Source organism: Homo sapiens, chromosome 12 (genome assembly GCF_000001405.40).
Source record: "Homo sapiens chromosome 12, GRCh38.p14 Primary Assembly".
NCBI lineage: Eukaryota > Metazoa > Chordata > Mammalia > Primates > Hominidae > Homo > Homo sapiens.
In genome coordinates, this window is record NC_000012.12 from 30,908,729 (window position 1) to 30,927,509 (window position 18,781).

At 44.3% G+C, this 18,781-nt stretch overlaps 1 protein-coding gene and 1 long non-coding RNA gene across 7 annotated transcripts in view, besides 2 other annotated features; one reads left to right on the forward strand and one right to left on the reverse strand.

The window, feature by feature from the left end:
- Positions 951-1,451: an enhancer, noted in NCBI's record as "H3K4me1 hESC enhancer chr12:31062613-31063113 (GRCh37/hg19 assembly coordinates)". NCBI's record gives its function as "activates a minimal SCP1, AML or CMV promoter by ChIP-STARR-seq in primed H9 embryonic stem cells {active_cell/tissue: H9 hESC(primed)}" and the evidence as "EXISTENCE:reporter gene assay evidence [ECO:0000049][PMID:30033119]".
- Positions 9,779-17,961, reverse strand: LOC124902911 (uncharacterized). Its single transcript, XR_007063264.1, has 2 exons — positions 15,029-17,961; positions 9,779-12,498 (listed from the first exon to the last, which is right to left on the reverse strand). It is a non-coding gene; the product is annotated as an uncharacterized LOC124902911 (long non-coding RNA).
- Positions 13,235-13,404: an enhancer, noted in NCBI's record as "experimental_28199 CRE fragment used in MPRA reporter constructs". NCBI's record gives its function as "activates a minimal promoter by MPRAs in K562 erythroleukemia cells, with activity observed for the introgressed 12:31074982 variant allele {active_cell/tissue: K562}" and the evidence as "EXISTENCE:reporter gene assay evidence [ECO:0000049][PMID:34662402]".
- Positions 17,962-18,019: 58 nt separating the features above from the next.
- Positions 18,020-18,781, forward strand: part of TSPAN11 (tetraspanin 11) — an 89,755-nt gene continuing 88,993 nt past the window's right edge. For 4 of the 6 annotated variants that reach the window (XR_001748709.2, XR_001748710.2, XM_011520679.3 and 1 more), the window contains exon 1: positions 18,020-18,068. Coding sequence is in view for 1 of the 6 variants with exons in the window: in NM_001370301.1 (NP_001357230.1) it covers positions 18,224-18,277 (54 nt within the window). In the remaining 5 variants the exon portion in view is untranslated. Of the gene's footprint in view, positions 18,069-18,175; positions 18,278-18,781 lie in introns of those variants that run through there. The other 2 variants (NM_001080509.3, NM_001370301.1) reach the window with 1 other exon arrangement.

The following is an 18,781-nucleotide window of genomic DNA, read 5'->3' on the forward strand; positions in this document are numbered from 1 at the left end:
ACCCAAATCCATCTGAAGCCAGAGATTCCATTCAACCTGGCACACATTCAGATAGCAAGTCTGCCTGGTACAGAAATCAGAATCTCCTGCTCACACTGAGTAATTTGATCCATTTACTCCAAGTCAGCAGTTTGGACATATGTTTGCAATCTAAGGGCTTCCTGTGAGGTACACAGAGCCATAATAACATTTTTTTACGGGAACTTTCTGGTTTTGGATGCCAGGCCAGACTGGAGTTGAAGATGTGGTTAGATGTAAACAAGAGTTTTAAAGGTCAGTTCTCCAGCCAGGAGGCTGGACTCTGTGGACCTTGACAGTGGGTGGGAAACTGTTCTCAATGGGTTTTCTCATAAAAAGATCATTTGCATGTGTTTCCTCGTACCAGAGCAGAAAAAAACCCACAGGACTTTTCCACTTTGCTTCTGCATCTGATGGGAGACAGAGGAAATGGCACAAAGCCAGCACCCCCCCATTCAACCCCAATTCTCCCAGTCCAGCCCTGAGAGAAATGCTAGCACACTGGGTCCTATGTTAAGCAAAGCCACAGCCTCTCCTCTGACTGGCCAGTACACCTAAATAATAAATATCCTCCTCAACCCCATCGGTCTCTCTAATTCCTTAAAAAATCCCACTACACTCCCAGCCCCTTGGAGAGCTGCTGCACCCTGCTCACCCTGGTTTTGCACAGGGCCCATTTTACATGTCTCAAAGGAACAATTCTCTTCCCAGTGTTCTCCTTAGGCATTTCAAGTGATTCTGTAAACCACATACTAAAAAAAGTAATGTTCTCATGTATTAACTTGACTAATATCCCATCGAATACGCCCCTACTGCTCTCAATTTATTCTACCAAACACAGAGATCTGGAAAAGCTCATTCTTTCTTACTGAACGCTAACAACCTTTTAACAATTTCATCTCCTCCTTCTGCTGCAAGAAATAAAACTCTGAGTTTGAAGGGAACATTTCCTTAAATTATAGACACAAACACTGTCTCTGTCTGTGGCCTTTGATCAGGAGTCCTAAGCCCTCATGCCTCGGTCTCCAAAGGGCTGTCCTCAAAGGCCAGGGGCAAAAGAAAATTGACTGACTAATTTGGCAAGAGGCTCTTGACCAGGGATTCCTAACTCATCTGTGGCCTCTCCAGCGCCCCAAACTGGAAGTCTATAGGATTATAGGAAGAGTATGAATATGCACATCTTCCACATGTAAATTGATCTTTCTCATTTCCTGTGTTTTTCTTCAATGGGGGATGGGGAAGGGTACAGAGAGAAGGAAAGCAGAAAACAGGATCAAGAAAGCAAACTGCCCAAATGACTAAGAAACCTCATACCAGAATGGTTGTTGAATTCTGAAGTCCTGGCTCCCAGCTCCCAGGAGCCAATCTCATGTCCCAGTGAGTTGTGGGGAGTGTCTTCCTGAGCAGGTGAATGGGGCAGTGGTGTGGCTGCTCATCACCCTTCATCGCCATACTGTGAAGGTCACATGCAAGACAGGAAAAGCCATGGAGCAGATGAGGTGTGGGGCCAAGAACACTCAAGTTGGAGGTTCTCACTGTGGGCTCAGCTATGTGATTATATGCTAGGGCAAGCCTATTGTCCTGTGCCTCAGTTTCCTCATTGGTAGAATTCAAATGTTAATACCCACCTCAGGAAATGATTGTGAGGAGTCAGTGTTAGGAATGTGTTCTGCTGCAAGTAACAGAAAGCCCAACAACTACACCTAAACAAATTAGGAGTTTGTTGTTCTCACATAAGAAGTCCAAAGTTAGATATTCCAGGGCTCAGATACCTGTGCAATTCTCATTGATTCTAAAACCCACTTTTTTTCACATTTGAACATCTTGGGAATCTGGTTGTGTCTTAAAAACATGTCAAGTTGTAGTTTAATTAATAGCATTTTATCTTTCCTAATGATACTTAAATACTGCTGTGTCTTATAATATTGCTTATGTATCCAATGAAGACAATATCAGGGGCTAAGACTCTTTCTAGCATTTATCTCCTCCATCCTTAGTCTGTGGATGACTTCCTGCATCCTCAAAACCTCATGCCTTGCCTCATGGTTGCAACATAGCTGCTGCATCTCCAAGAATCACATCCACATTACAGGCAGGAGGGAGAGAGAAGTGGGAAGAAGACAAAGGGTTTTCTTTTCTTGACTTTTTTTTTCTTTTAGTTAGAAAGAGATGCCCTCTCTACCAACTTTCACTTACATATTATTGGGCAGAACTATGTCACATGGCCACCTACAGAGTTCTGGGAAGTTGAGTGTTTAGATTTCCAGGCTCTCTAAAAGAGGAAGGCAAGGGAGGAAGTAGGTGCTTGCTTGGGTACTGAGTGAGCCCACCTATTGTGTCTGCCACAGTATTTAAAGTACCTAGTACAAGTATCTGGCATGTAGCAGATGCTCAAGAGAGAGAAATCCTGTACCTACTACACACACAGACACACACACACAAACACACACACACACACACACACACACACACGATTTCTTTTGGAGATGAGGGAAGCCAGCCCACCAAACAACTTCATTTCTTGGAACAGTACGATCAACACTCTGTAGGAATGCAAATGAAGTTTACCCAAGAAAGTGATAAACACACTTCTATCCTTTCCAATTCTGCAGAGCCGTTTCCGTAGGCTCATGCACCAGAAGATTCTGGCACAAAATAAATAAACAAACTGTTTTGCTTTTCTCACACGTGAGGGTATTTTGGTTTCCATCCACCAAGCTGAGGCTATCTCTCACTTCAGTTCTGCAGCAGCCACAGCCCTGCAGCCCCTGCTTGGTCTCAGTGGGAAACATTTGCAAGCTGGCATCTATAAGCCATTCTCACTTCAAATCTGTGACGGGGGATAAGCATTTCTATTTGCCAAAACTGCATCTCAGAGAAATCAGGAATATGTTCAAGGTCATCCAACTGGTAAGTGAGGAGCTAAGACAAACTGAGGTCGTTCTGGTGCCATACCCTTCCTTGCACATCTCCTTGCCCCCCGAAGGATTGCTTTCTGTTTAACTCTCAGTTTTAGGCCAGAAAAGTCAGGCATCACCCCAACATTAGGATCCCATGGAAGGGTTGTCATAGTGATGATAGAAAGTGGAGGCACTCTAGGGTTTTCTCTGTCCATCTGCTCCCAGGCAGGCCTGGGGCTCTGCCAGCCTCCTTGAGACTCTCCAAAGACATCCGGGCAGCAGAGTCAATCCCTGGGGGCTCATCTAGGAACTCCAGGGACTGTGTGCTTCCTTCTACTCAATAGATGGGAGATACTGAGAATTCTGCAAAGAGGAGGCGATGCCCAAGGTCATAACAGGAGTGAGAGCCTGTGTGAGGACCAGACCAAGGGCTTCATGCTGCCCTCTCTCTGGGGCCCAGGGCTGTACTGGCTCCTGTTTTGTCCTTGATTAGAGATACCAGCTCTCAGACTTCTCAGGGTCACAGAGAGTAGGGCTGAGCTTGGAGGGGATGGGTTGGGAGGGAGGGATGCTGAGGTAAGACAGTGAGTCCCTGGGCAAGTATTTGTTCGAAGAGCAACAGGAGAAGGGAATGAAGTGGGGAAGCAGTGGAAGTGTGCAAATAGCCATGGTCCTTGGCCGTTTTTGAGACTTCATCAGGTAGGCCTACCCTGACCCTCATGATCTAAATGAGCCTTCTACTTCATTATTTCCTCTGTTCTTTTCCATTATAGCACTTACTACAATTTTTGACTGCCTATTTCTTTGTATGTCTTTTCTTGTTTATGTCTGTCCAGGCCACTAGACTCTAGAGTCCATAAAGGCAGGAAAGACATTGGCTGTCCATTTGCCCAAGATCCAGCAGTGCCTGGCATATAGTAAATACCCAACAAATATGTAATGAGAAAGTGGTTTTTTTTTAACATTCCTGATTCATCTTGGACATTGATATGAACCAAAATACATGACCATTGAATAGCTGCAACTTGTGTCTGTGAGTACTCACCATTAGGTACAAGTTTAAAACAAATGTAATTTATTATAAAAATACTTTTTTGATCATCTGTGATTTTTTTTAGTGCTGAGGCAGATAATAAAAGATTAGTCTGGGTATTGTGGTTCATGCCTGCAACCTCAGCACTTCGGGAGCCTAAGGCAGGAGGATCACTTGAGCTCAGGAGTTTGAGACCAGCCTGGGCAACATGGCAAGACCCTGTTTCTACAAAATAAATAAATAAATAAATAAGATTAATATATTTTCCAATAGACATGAGTTAATTAAAAGATTATTTTTGATCTTATTATTTCTCATATTTACTTCATGGTATAATGATCAAGTCTGGCACATAATGGTTTGTAGTCTGTCTTACTTTTGTGTAGAAAATGATATTAAAGGGATTTTTATTTTGCTCCTTTGACATGAGAACATAGGGTAGAAGGTATCTTTGAGCCTCATAAGGGACCAAAAATCCCCCGGCCCACTACACACAGCCTCAGAGGGTACTGTTCCTACTGCTGTTCAGGTGCAAGGCACCCCTGGAGTTGGGCAGTGTGCAGCCTACACAGCCTTGCAGGAGCAGCCTTGTGAAAATCCAGGTTTGACAGCTTATCTGCCTGTTTTTACTCTTGCCCCTTTCTGTTCTTCCCATGACATCCAGAATGATCTTTTCAAAATTTAAGTGAGAGCATGGGATTTGTCTGCTTCAAATCCTCCAGTGACCTCTCATTGTATTGAGAACAAAAACAAAACCCCTCTCCCTGGCCCTCGGGCCCCATAGGATCTGCCCTTCTTCGCCTGTATCTCTTACATGTTTCTTACTTCCCCTTTCTCCTTTGCTCGCTGAACTCCAAACTCCAGTCCTCCGTTAGCCAAATTCATACCTGACTAAGGGTATGTGTGCCTTCTGCCTGAACTTGGTCTCCTACCCTGGCTTCCTACTTTTGACCAATCTTCATTGGTGTATTAGTCTGTTTTCACACTGCTATAAAAGAACTACCTGAGACTGGGTAATTTATCAAGAAAAAAGGTTTAATTGACTCACAGTTCCACATGCCTGGGGAGGCCTCAGGAAACTTACAGTCATGATAGAAGACAAAGAAGAAGCAAGGCACATCTTACATAGCAGCAGAAGAAAAAGAGTGAGATGGGGGTGAACCATCACACACTTAAACCATCAGATCTCATGAGAACTCACTAGAACAAGAACATCATGGGGGAAACCGCCCCCATGATCCAATCACTTCCCAGCAGGTCCCTCCTTTACACGTGAGGATTACAATTTGAGATGAGATTTGGATGGGGACACAAAGCCAAACCATATCAACTGTCTGTTTTCTTCTCATCACTCAGATCTCATCCCCAGGAGAGCTCTTCCCTGACTCTGATTCTACACTCCTCAGTCACTCTCCATGACATCTCTGTGTCTCTTCTCTCCGCAGAACTCATCCCTATCTGATATGTCCTTGTTTCTCTATGTTCATTCACTCATTATCTGTGTGCTCCACTAGACTTTAAGCTCAGTGAGAGCTGGGGCATTATCTATGTTGTTCTTTGCTGCACTTCCAGTGCTGACAGCAGTGCCAGGCCCATGGTAAGTGCCCTTGAAACATTTATTAAATGGAGGAATGAAAATCCACAAGGAGACTTGGTGGTGGTGGTCCCCAGTCTGGCTTGCTGACCAACTGGGGGAGTCCATCTGAGGACTCAAGAACCAACAGGAGCCTGCTGTGCTGGAAAGAGTCAAGAAGTCAAGAGGCCTGAGTCTACTGCCTTTTCTTGTTGCAGCCATTAGCCTCTCTCTCACTCTCACTCTCGCTCGCTCTTGCTCTCTCTCACTCTTGCTCTCTCTCAGGACTTCCATTTCCTCATCCGACCTGTGAGGCAATTGGATTGGGAGGTCTCTGAGGTCAGAGGGTGGGAGTCATTGGGGTAGCCAAGTCCCTAACTCTCCGGAGCCACTGCAGGCCCTGAGCCTGGGGTGGGAGGGTGGGGCCAGACCCCACACACAGGCTTCCAAGAAGACACATTTGCAAAGCCTGTGTGCTGGTCCCTCCCCCAAGGCTTCAAAAGCAGGTGCTTGAGACAAAATGAGGAACGTGATGGGAACTCTGTGATTGAAGAGAGTGTGTGGGTTTGACTTCCGGGCACTGTACGCAACACTCAGCCCGATGTGAGTGGGTCACCCACTGCCTCAGTTGCTGGCCTCCACTCTCAGCCTGTACCCCATGAGAGTCTGGCTGATTTTCTGACTCTTCATTAGCACAAATCCAGCAGTGTCAATGTGATATCTCCAGACAGAGGCCTGCCGACTGGGGAGCAGATAGACCTTGCTGCCATTTCCTCTCCCCACCCTCCTGGGTTCGGCTCTGCCACCTCTTAGAGTAGGACTAGGGAATGGCCAGAGGGCAGTTCAGGGTAGGTGGGAAGAGAAACTGCTGCAGACCTGAATGAAAGGAAGGAGTAAGGCACACACAGGACCACAGGAGGGAGGCGGAGGCTCCAAAGGCTATTCTGCCAACACCTGACCATGTGACATCACCTTCCTCTCTGGGGATCAATCTCCTGATTGTGAGATCAGACTAGGTGACCTCTAAGCCATCTCCCAGTGCTAGAATTTTCAAGTTCTCATTAAGTGCTAATTTCTAAAACCGCGCTCATCACATATGTGCTATGTAGGAAATGCGGCAGGGAGAGAGATCGCAGGAATTCCTGTCTGATAAGAAGGAAGTGCATTGGTCAGCAGACTCCGGCCTTTCTTTCCACGACAGCACACTTGATGAAGGCTAATTGAGAGTTTAACTACCCCCAGGGATTTTTCTGGACTTCAGCACAGATGCAAGGGATCCAGGGCTATGCATGATTCTTGGAGGCTGGGGATTAGGGGTTGGGGTGATAGCTATAACTTTTACCATATCACATAGTGTATTGGACACCACATTTAAGAGCCACTTAAATCTGCACCAGCAGACCAGATTGGAAAATTTATGTTAACAAGGCTATAGACTAGGCCAAAATCATGTTGCACACCATTAGCAGAGAGTCTTGATGGTTTTATAATTTATTCTACATGTTTTCAGTTCTGTTATTGTCCAGCACTATACTAAGTGCTAGGGAAGTAAAGATGAATAGAATCCAGCCCTTGCTCTCTAGCAGTTCCCAAAGAACCTGCTGTGGCACCCAGGAATGCCCAAGCCAGAGCCCCCACCATTAGTCCCAATGATACCTTTTGTACAAATTTTAAAAAGGCCTGCCTTTGGGACAGGTGCAGTCCAGGGTGCACACAGCCAGGTGAGCACATTAAACTGACCATTGGTCCCCCTTTTTCCCCTCAACTGAGCACCCTGGTGCAGTCAACAATCTGTGTAACTGATCCTGGTGTTCATGGTGGGTTGCCAAATTTCAATTAACATCTAACATATATTTTCATTCTAATGGGATATACATGCTAGCAATGCCTGTCAAATGGAGCACAGACCCCAAAACGTCATATCACAATGGAGCATGGGGTAAGCTGGCTATGATGTGAGGTGAGAAATGTAAAATCTGGCCAAACTGGTGTTTATTGGAACATAAAAAAATGTAACAGAACAGAAAACCAGTATTAAAGGGAGACCAAATGATAGTCTGGCAATAGTTGGGTGCTTTTATAGTTGCTTTGAAAATCATTTATACTGCAGTAGTAATTGCATTGTAATGATTCCTGACTTGTTTAGTGTGTTTTAGTATTTTAATGCTGTGATGTATGCACACACACACAACAGAAGTTGGGAATCATCACTCTAGTGGTTCTAGTGGAAAAGAAGTATATTAAAAAAATTCTGTTCCATATTAAGTTCTTCTTAGAGATTTGAGATAAAAACAAGTCACTTAACTCTGCCTAGAGAGGCCAGGGAGGGCTTCCTAAAGGAGGTGATAACTAAAGCAAAATGTGAAGATTAAATAGGAATTCACCAAGCAGACAGGGTGGGAAAGGGCACTGAGAGCAATGGAAAGCACTTGGGCAAATGTGTGGAAGAAAGGACAAATTGTGTGTACTGAGCTGCAAGCTGTGATATGGACTGGAGAGGAAAGCATGAATAAGAGCATCAAGAGGTGAAGGTGAAGCCAGCTCACAAAAGAGTCCTAATGGATGTGGCTCTGGTCCTAATCCTTCCCCCAAATTCAAACCTCCCACCACTGTCACCAATCCTAAAGTAAAGGTAAGAATTTTCCCAAGATACACATGATGTATTTTTGCTTTGGGCTCAGCAAAATGCCACAAGCTATACTCTTTTAACTTGGGTAGAAAATGTATAACACTAGCTAGGTGTTTTGCAGAAATACCAAGGACTAGTACAAAATGAAAACGTGAAGACTCTTTTTCAAAAATTATTGAGAATTTCAAGATAGCAAGAGTAGAGCATTTAATGATGTGCTAGGCCCATCAAAGTGTGGGGCTTTGTGTAACTGCACAGATTGCATGACCATAAAGTAGGTTTTGTCTGTAGTTGCGGGCAACCAGGAAAAAGGAAGAAAGAAAGGGTTGGGTGGTGGGGAGATAGAGAGAAAGAGAGGGAGAGGGAGAGAGAAAGAGTGATTGAGATGCTAATTCAAGGCAGTCAAAATCCTTTTTTTAAATCAAGCTTCCGAAATTTTGTCCTCAAAGTATCCCTAGTAACAAGAAGAATCTGCAGTATAGCAACCCTCCACAACCTTGTGTTCTATGACACAAGAACATAATTTACTTGAGTTCTTATGTCACTGAAAAATATTTTGCATGAATTCTTTGTAATGATACATAGTGTTTACTTTAATATGAAAAGTGTCTTTAGTAAGGTGACTGGTTATGAGATAAATATACAAAAACTTATATCATGATGGATCAGGAGGAGGTCAGAGTGCGTACCATCTTCTACATCTTCACCTACACAAAGTACCATGAAATAACAGAAATTATATTTTGAAAAAAATAGATTTATAATGTGGCTGGAAATCAAGGAAGAATGCTACCTGCAGACTAGAAATATTGAAGTATGATTTTTTTAGAAAGATAGGACTGAATTGATTAAAAACAAAAACAAGAGAAGGTAAGAAAAAAAAAAACCACCAAGCCAAAATGAGTAGGAGGGACTACACAAGGCAAGAACAGTTCCAGAGCACCCCAAGTTAAGAGTGATGAGATCCATGTGGGGAAGAGAGCCTGGGATCTCAATGTCATCAGGTGAATACTTCAGAACAGCTGAGCCAGTCAGGCCTGTCCCCTTCAGGCCTCCATTTACATGGAGCAAATTTGTAGATAAAGCATTTCCTCCTAGGTTCAAGCTGTTGTCACTGCGCTCTGAAAGGGGAGTTCTGACTCAATAAATCTTGTGAGCTGGGGCCAACAGGCAGAGTAGGACCTCTGGTGCCATGGACTCCTGAGAGGGATAGAGAATCCCTGCCATCAGGGTCATGCTATCTGCAGACCCCACCTGCATAGACACCTCCCCATAATCACTGGGAAGGGCAACAGAAATTGGTATAGGCAATAATGATTTCCATTTGAGTTGGGAAAAGCATTGTGTTTGGATATCACAGCCTCTGCCAAAACTAGTTTTCACATGTTTTTGAGATCTTCCTATGGTCAGGTGATTGATCAATTTATAAATATTGCATGACTGAAAAGAACATAAAATCTGATAAGTCAAAATGTTTCTTTTCTATAATTATTATACCATATTTGTTATTTGTGTTCATTTAAATCCTCTTCAGTGCTGTCCAATAAAAATACAATGAGAAACACGTATGTTATTTTAAATTTTCTAGTCACCACTTTAAAATAAGCAAAAATAAACTGATGAGATTAATTTTAACAGATTTTATTTATCCATTTATTTTAGGTTGCAATCTTTTTTAACTTTTATTGTAGGTTTGAGGGTACATGTGAAGGTGTGTTACATATATAAACTCATGTCACAGAGGTTTGTCATACAGATCATTTCATCACCCAGGAATTAAGCTCACTACCCAATATTTATCTTTTCTGCTCCTCTCCCTCCTCCCAACCTCCACCCTCAAGAAGACCCCAGTGTCGTTGTTTCCTTCTTTGTGTTCATAAGTTCTCATAATTTTAATAGATTTTATTTAACTCATATCTAAAGTATGATCTTTTCAAAATATAATCAATATTTAAAATATTCGAGCTATTTTACTTTATTTTTTCATACCAAGTCTTTGAAATCCAATGTATGTTTTACACTTTATAGCACATTTCAACGTGGATTAGCCATATTTGAAGTATTAAATAACCTAGTGACTACTGGCTATACTGTGTGGCTAGTGGCTACTATATTGGAAAGTGCACCTCTCAATCCTTGGGTTATTTTTTGTCTACTTGTCCTATCATCTTTGCTTTATACATTTTGGAGCTATGCACAAAGGTTCATGGGTGGACACGAACAAAATAAAAAAAAGTCTTCTTTGGCCAGGCACGGTGGCTCACGCCTGTAGTCCCAGCACTTTGGGAGGCCAAGGCGGGCAGATCACTTGAGGTCAGGAGTTCGAGGCCAGCCTGGCCAACATGGAGAAACCCCGTCTCTACTAAAAATACAAAATTAGCTGGGCATGGTGGCATACACCTGTAATCCCAGCTACTTGGGAGGCTGAGGCAGGAGAATTGCTTGAACCTGGGAGATGGAGATTGCAGTGAGCCAAGATCATGCCACTGCACTCCAGCCTGGGTGACAGAGCAAGACCCCATCTCTAAATAAAGAAATAAATAAATAGTCTTCTGTGACCATGAATTCTTTGGGCTTTGGATTCATTTTATCTTATATTAATATTGGCATATCTACTTCTTGGTGCCAGCATTTCCTTAGTTAATACATCTTTTCCACTCCTTTATTTTGAAACTTTGTGTCATTTTTTCATGTGTGTCCCTTTTAAGTAACATATAACTGCATTTGGTTTTGTTATCCAGAGAGTTGCCATCTTTTAATAGACACATTAACCAAATCATATTAATTCCAAATATTGGCATATTTGGACATATTTGTCCACATGCTTGTACTTTTTAGTTATGCGCTTTCTTGTTGTTTCTTTTAATTTTTTCATTTCTTACTTTTGTTGGATTAATCAAGGTTTTAGGTGTCCTGGTTCCCTTTGTTTTTTTCTTTCAGCAGTTTAACATTTACATATCGTATTTCTATTCTTCCAGTAGTTACCGTTAAGTATTTTCAGCAAAAGGAAGCAGATCATTTTATTTGCAATGATGTGTGATTGCCACTTGATAACTACTTTATCTTGTCCATTTTTGGTTATTGTTACCCTTAATTTTAACTAATTTTAAGTTATACATATATTTTCTCCCTGTGAAAAAACTAAAAGATTATAGGTTTGGTCAAATTCCTCTGACTGCATCCCCAATCCCAGTCTCTTCTCAAGAAGTAACAACCATATTTAAGTTTAAAACATTTTTGACTTTATATATATATATGTACACATACATATGTATGTATATATGTGTGTACATGTGAATAGGTCTATATATACACATACATACGTATGTATACATGTGTGTATGTGTATGTGTGAATATATCTATACGAGCGTGTGTGTGTGTTCAGCTACCAAAATAAATACTTTCTGTGACTCATTTTGTAGGAATTTGCCATAAAGAAATAATTGAATAAGTAGGCAAGTATATATATTAAAGAATGTTTCATAACAACATCATCAAAAATCTTTTTTCATTGAAAACATCCTGGCTGGAAGCGTGGCTCACGCCTGTAATCCCAGCACTTTGGGAGGCCTAGGTGGGCGGATCTTCTGAGGTCAGGAGTTCAAGCTCAGCCTGGCCAACATGGTGAAACCCTGTCTCTACTAAAAATACAAAAATTAGCTGGGCATGGTGGTGCGTGTCTGTAATCCCAGCTACTCGGGAGGCTGAGCAGGAGAATCAACTTGAACTCAGGAGGTGGAGGTTGCAGTGAGCCCAGATCACGCCACTGCACTCCAGCCTGGGCAACAGAGTGAGACTTTATCTCAAAAAAAAAAGAAAAGAAAACATCTTAAATATTCATTAATAGGGTATTAGTTAAATAAATTGTGGTATATCCATACATTACATTTAAAGTGATGTAACATATTCTTAAATCCATTGACATAAAAAGCTGACTAGAATATAGCCTCAAATTTAAAAAAATCTGATTACAAACACATACTCACAAACACACACAATTAAAAGATATTCACCAAAATCCAGTAATACAGTGGTTATTTATGATAGGTAAGAGTCCAAGTGGTTTTTAACGTTCTTATTTAATATTTTATACTGATCAAATTGTCTAAAATGAGCATAGATGGATGTTACACTTTTGAAAATATTTTTTAAAACCTATTCCCTTCTTTCCAAAAAATATTATATAAAATCTTAAATAGAACAGTTGCTCCAGGAAAATTCATGATGTTTATCCAAAGGCTTCTCTTCCTTCCCAGTATGTGACTTTGGGTCCAGAGAACCTTACAGAAGCAGGCTTTAGAAAGCTTCCTGGAGAAGATGAGAGAGGATTAGCAGTGTGCTACCTGTAGCAAAAAAAAAAAAAAAAAAAAAAATTCCATTTGTAAATAATTATCATTTTGTATGTTATTTATATATTTGCTCAGCTCTCTCTACTTATGTTTCCTGTATACTAGATATGTTTTTCTGTTTTGCTCTCACTAATTTTCTCCTGGGAAAGAACCAAACTGTAAGTTCCTTCATGTAGAATGCCAAGAGAGCACGGACATTTGAGCAATGCTTTTGACACTGCTAATGAAGATCAATATTTCAAGCACTAATTAGTGCAACTAATGTTCTTGGTGTGATTGGAAGTATGCCTGAAAACAGTTGAAAAATTCCTGCTTGTAACATCTTTCTCATGGGAATTATACCTGAGACTGTGAGGTTCAATTCCGCAGTCATTTCTTTACCTATTAAGCAGCAGATACTATTGCAAAAATCAGAAGGGTCAGTCATCAAGTTCATAGCCAAATGTAGGCTGAATTAAAGCTAAGCCTAACTGATCAATATTTAACATCTGGTCATTCCCTAGTCCTTCCAGAAGAAAGACAGATGCTAACAAAAGGCTTTTTAGCTCTATTTTTCACATGGATTAAAAAACCAAGGCTAGTTTCCACTTTCTAAGAGAGTAGAAAGAATCTTAGGAGGAGTTTCTCCCCATTTTAAAGATGGAGGCTGAGTCAGATTAGCTGTCTCTGATGGGTATCCTGAAGGGAATGTTTTCCATTAATATCTCCAAGAACCTAACTGATCTTCCTCAGAATGGCTCAGTCACGAGTTTATACAAAGAGTACTCATTAGGGCCATATCAGGACAGCAGCTTAACCAAGCATGGATGTCAAGGAGGCAGAAGTAGCTTCATTTCCTTGCAATCCTCCTAGGTAGTGACTAGAAATTGTTTTGAAAGACAAGCTTGGCCCAGCGCGGTGGCTCATGCCTGTAATCCCAGCACTTTGGGAGGCCGAGGCGGGCGGATCACGAGGTCAGGAGATCGAGACCATCCTGGCTAACACGGTGAAATTCCATCTTTACTAAAAATACAAAGAATTAGCCAGCCGTGGTGGCAGGTGCCTGTGGTCCCAACTACTCGGGAGGCTGAGGCAGGAGAATGGCGTGAACCCGGGAGGCGGAGCTTGCAGTGAACCGGGATCGTGCCACTGCACTCCAGCCTGGGCAACAGAGCGAGACTCCGTCTCAAAAAAAGAAAAAAAAAAGAAAAAGAAAGACAAGCTTATGCTCGGAGGATGGAGAAAAGCAAGTTTTACAGTTCCTGACCTATGAGGGTTTACTGTACAACCTGAATGCCAAGTTAACGTGCCATATATCCGGGGGATGCCAACAATAACAGAACATTCTCCTCACTGTCGTGTGTGTGTGTGTGTGTGTGTGTGTGTGTGTGTGTGTGTGTGTTACCGTTAAGTTAACCACAAAACAAAAAATTACCGTTAAGCCATCCACAAAACAAAAAATGGTATTTTCTGTGACTCCATTTCTAGGAATGGATATGGACACTGTTGTTGGGTAGAGAGGCTATCAGGCCCTGTGCTGGCATGGAGCAGGGTCTCACAAGAGCTACACTATATCACCAAGTAGCAATAGATGTAGGTCATTTCAGATAACAAACAAGGAAGTCTAAGTTGGGTTTTTTGGGGATTTTTCCCTAAATTTCTAAAGGAGTCTCTACAAACTCCATTACTACTGCATCCATTGACAGATCTCCCTATCAGATATAAAGGCAGGGAAATGGTGCCAGAGCATGGCCTAAAAGCAGAAGCTGCCAGCACCCCGCCGGGACAGAAGATGAGCTACAGGCCTGAATATGGGGCTGTCTTAGTCAATTTGTGTTGCTATAAAAGGAATATCTGAGGCTGGGTAGTTTATAAAGAAAAGGAGTTCATTTGGCTCATGGTTCTACAGGCTGTATAGGAAGCATGGTGATAACATCTGCTTCTGACAAGGGCCTCAGGAAGCTTCTACTCATGGGGGATGGTGAAGGGGAGCCGCATATACAGATCACAAGTTGGGAGAGGTGGCAGAGAGTGTGGAGGAGGTGCCAGGCTCTTTTCAACAATCAGTTCTCACAGGAACTAACAGCAAGAACTCACTCTTGCAAGAATGGCACCAAGCCATTTATGAGGGATCCACCCCCTGACTTGAACACCTCCCACCAGGCCCCACCTCCAACACTGGGGAGTAAATTTCAACATGAGACTTGGAGGGGACAAACAAACCATATCCAAACCATAGCAGGGGCACAGGTCTCCAGATCTGGGATTAAAACTCTCCTTTGGAGGATTTCACTTAGCCCCTTCCATTTTTTTTTCCAAATACTTAACCACATCCTAGTGTTCGTGACTCAACCAATGCTCCATGCTCATGGAAAGCTGCTAAAATGGGAGCCTGTACAAACAGGAGTTGTCCTGTTCATTCTCACAGCACCGTCCATTCAATCTCTGGAGTACCCAACCTGGCAGAGAAACCTCCCTCCTCATACAACCACAGAATAAGAATCAAAATGGAATATTTCCAACTCCTATCTCATCTTCCTCATACCTTTTCTAGTCCAAGCTGAATTCCCATCTCCATTTTCATAGATGGTGGATTCTCATTCTTCCCCCTCACCTTCTTCAAGTATGTTTTGTGAAATAACATGGAATAGGTTAGGATCTTGTTAATGGTGCAGTGCTGGTAGAAGAGGCCAATTCCTTCATAAAAGGTAAGGACAAAAGAAAGCCAAAATCAAAAAGTCTAGGAATTAGAATTCTAGGCCTATGTGGTCTGATATGGTAGCCACTAGCCACATGTGGCTACTGAGCACTTGAGATGTGCCACATGCAACTGAAGGGCTGGATTATTTCATTTAATTTTAATTAATATAAACAAATTTAAAAACTGATCATTTGATTTTATTGTTGGAAAGCTAAGTATGTATATAACAACGTAGGCTTGTAAATCTATTTCCTCAACCAAAACGTTATGAAATCTAAATACACACTGAATATTTCCAATGAAAATGTAGTGTTTGCATGTAGATGTGCAATACACATAAAATATAACCAGAGTTGGAAGACTTAGTAGGAAAAAATGTAAAATATCTTATCGTTGATTTTTCATATTGACACACGCTGAAATGATATTTTAGATATACTGTGTTAAATAAAATATATCATTACAATTACTTTCACCTGTTTCTTTATATTGATTTTTTTTTTTAAACGTGGCTCACGGAAAATTTTTAATTACATATTATATTTCCATTGGTTCTCCACTGTAAACGTTTAATGTTACTGGGGATACTGCTGGAGAGGGACTACCCTAGCCCAGAGCTTCATTCATCACTCACCCTCTCCTACTGCTAGAAAGTCACTCCAGGCCGTTTTCCAACCCTCTCTTTCCTCATTGCTGTTTTAATGTTATTAACTTTGGTGAATACTGACCTCCCCTCACCCTTACCCTCTTCCAGCATTCTCCCCTCCTCGGGCCTACTCCACTCTTCTCTCTTCCATCCGGCTTTTGAAAATCCATCTTCTACTACGAATAAGCTTCCTCTTCGCTCCCCATTCCCCAGGCTCTTTCCTTCACACCACCTTCTCTGAGTCTTTCTAACCATCCCTGTCTGTTTAAACTGCTCCGTTAGAGGCCAAGTTTTGTTTCCTGCGCCCTTTCTCAGTGTCCCTGTACCTCCGGTTGGATTTCTAGGAAACAGACTCTGCACAGAGATGGAGATGGTATGTGGGAGGTCTCCTGGGACGTGCTCTTGGGAACAACACCTTGAGAGAGTGAGGGAAACAGGATTCGGCAGAGAATGAACTTTAACTGTGCTGCTTTCCACAGAGGCCTCGGCGGATCCCTTGGGAAGCTATGGAGCTGGGGTGGCCCTTCAGGGCCCTCCGTAATGGAAGCAAAGAGGTGAACCTTTGTATCTCCCCATCAACCAATTGGATCCGAGATACAGATGCCCCGCCCCAAGGAGTGGCAACCTGGTTTATATAAGCCACCACTCAAATAGTTATCTTGAACTAGCCCAGAGATCTCCTTCTTTCTAAATCTAAACCTATTTTCTTGGGCGCCCTCCTCCGTGGTGTCCCTGCAGCCCGGGCCCCGGCCCCCATTGAACCTCCCTCTTCTCCTGAGTCCTGACACCCCGCACAGTCCTGACCTTCCCTTATGGTTTCTCCTGATAGTTTCCGTTCCTTTCATGGGCTCCTTCTCGGTAGACCTAGATTCTGTCTTCAGCCCTGTTCTCTGTACCTTTTCTACCCTCTCCCTCCACCTCTTGTGTCGGCCCAACTTCTTTCCAGATGATTCCAAAATTGACATCCCTTGCCTCAGTCTCTCCTATGAACTCCAGAATCACCCTTCCAATTGCATTTGCTGGATATCTGCCCCTGGAAGAAGGTGGCCTGCTTCTCCAATCCAACTTGCTCCACACTAAACTCAGTCACATCACTCCAGGTTCTCCTCCAGACTTCCACAATGTTACAGCCCCAGTGTGCTCCTCCTACACCACACAGTCTGTAGACTCTCCTTTGCTGCAGCTTCCGCATTCATCCCCCAGTTAAGGTCCTCATCTCACGGGACTATTGGAATCATCTCCTTCCTGTGTGGCCCCCCGCGAAGCCCTTCTCAGCAGCCAGCTGGGGTATTTAGAACGTTGGTGCTCCCGGTACAGTGGCTTTGTCAGCGTCCCCTGCCTCCAGTGGCTTCCCTGATCTAGCAACCTGGTAAATGGGTAATCTTCCTCACTGCAGCTAAGTTTCAAAAGAACACGGTTGGATAAGCACAAGGCCCTTGTTACTTTGGGAAATAGATAATCCATGCCCCACTGTTAGGGCCAGTCCCGTTAGGGCCAGCTTTGCACCTTCACAGGGACTCAGCAGGAACAGATGGGCTCTACTCTCTGTTATTCCTTTTTGCTTCAGATTAGAGAGACCTTGATTCTCCCCGGGGCCCAGGAAATGTAAAGCTGATGCTCCACAGGACTCTAAGAGGGACACGGCAGTGATGGGGGCTGGTGAGGAAGGGGGATGGAGAACCTCTCTCTTATCAGACAGGCTTGTCCCTAGGGTCCCTGGAAACCCCCAAAGGCCAACCTCTCCCAGGGGCCGACAAACGTAAAGGGCAGGGAGACCTAAGCGGGGAGCTGCGGAGCGCGGGGAGTTTGAAAGCCGCTCCACCGCCCTACTAGTCCGTCCTTTTGCCCCGCCCCCCTTAGGGATCCCCCCGGCAACCGCACAGCTGCCTCGGACTCTGACTTAATTCCCTCCGCGTGCTCTGAATCGCAGAGAGGCAAACCCCCAAACAAAGAGCCGGCAGCTCGCGTGCGGGGCTCCCGGGCGCGTCCTGCCGGCTGGGCTGGGAGAGCCGGCGCCGGGGCGTCGCGGCCGAGCGCTGGGCAGGCGGGGACTAGAGGGCCGGCAGGAAGCCTCAGTGGGCGCAGGGGCGCGGGCCGGGCTGCCCACACGCTGACCTTCCCGGGCTGGGAGGGAGGAGCGCTGGCTGCGGGCGGTGGGCGGCTGGGCGGCCCCGGGAGCCGCCGCTCTCAGTCTCTCTAGGCGCAGCTCCCTTCGCCGCTTCCGGAGCCCCTGGCAGGGTAAGTGCAGAAGCGCGCCCGAGGAGTGGGGGCGCCGCGGGAGGGGGCTGGGGGTCCAGGAGAGGCGCCTCCACCTCCGCTGCCCGCCCCGCCGGCAGTCCCGAGCTAGACTGTCCCGAGCTTCCCCCGGGCGGGCAGAGGGAAGCCGGCTGGGGATGAGGAGTGGAGGAGGCAGGAATGCCTGGGACACTCGCGGGGCATGTGAGCAGGTATTGGTGTCTGCATGGGACACGCAACACGGTGTCCATAACTATGCGCATGAGTCTGCCTTTCTGCACTTGTGCCTTGGGAGAGAGCTCTGGGCCTCTGAGGGCCTCGTGCCGTCCAGCGTGCCCGGGGCATGTCTGTTCCTCTTGAAAATGTCATTCTTTGTCCACCCTGAATTCGAGTAGCTGCCTCTCATGGCTACACCAAAATGCTGTATCTGGTGCACATTGCTTTCAGAGGGCCTGTCTGCCTGTGCAGGGATGTCCTCATGTTCTGGGCACGTCTGTGTATTTGTGACAACATGGCTGTGTAGGCCCTGTCACCTGTGTTTTCGTGCCCATCCCTGCATGTGCAGTTGGCCGGCTCCGTGTGGAAAGAAGGCATGGAAGGTTCTGGGGTGTATCCTTTTCACCAGCCATATGTGCAGTGTGCACATGTGTGAATTGGTGGAAAGTATGAAAGGGAGGCAGCCCAGTTGGGCTTGGCGGGACAGCATCTTAACTTGA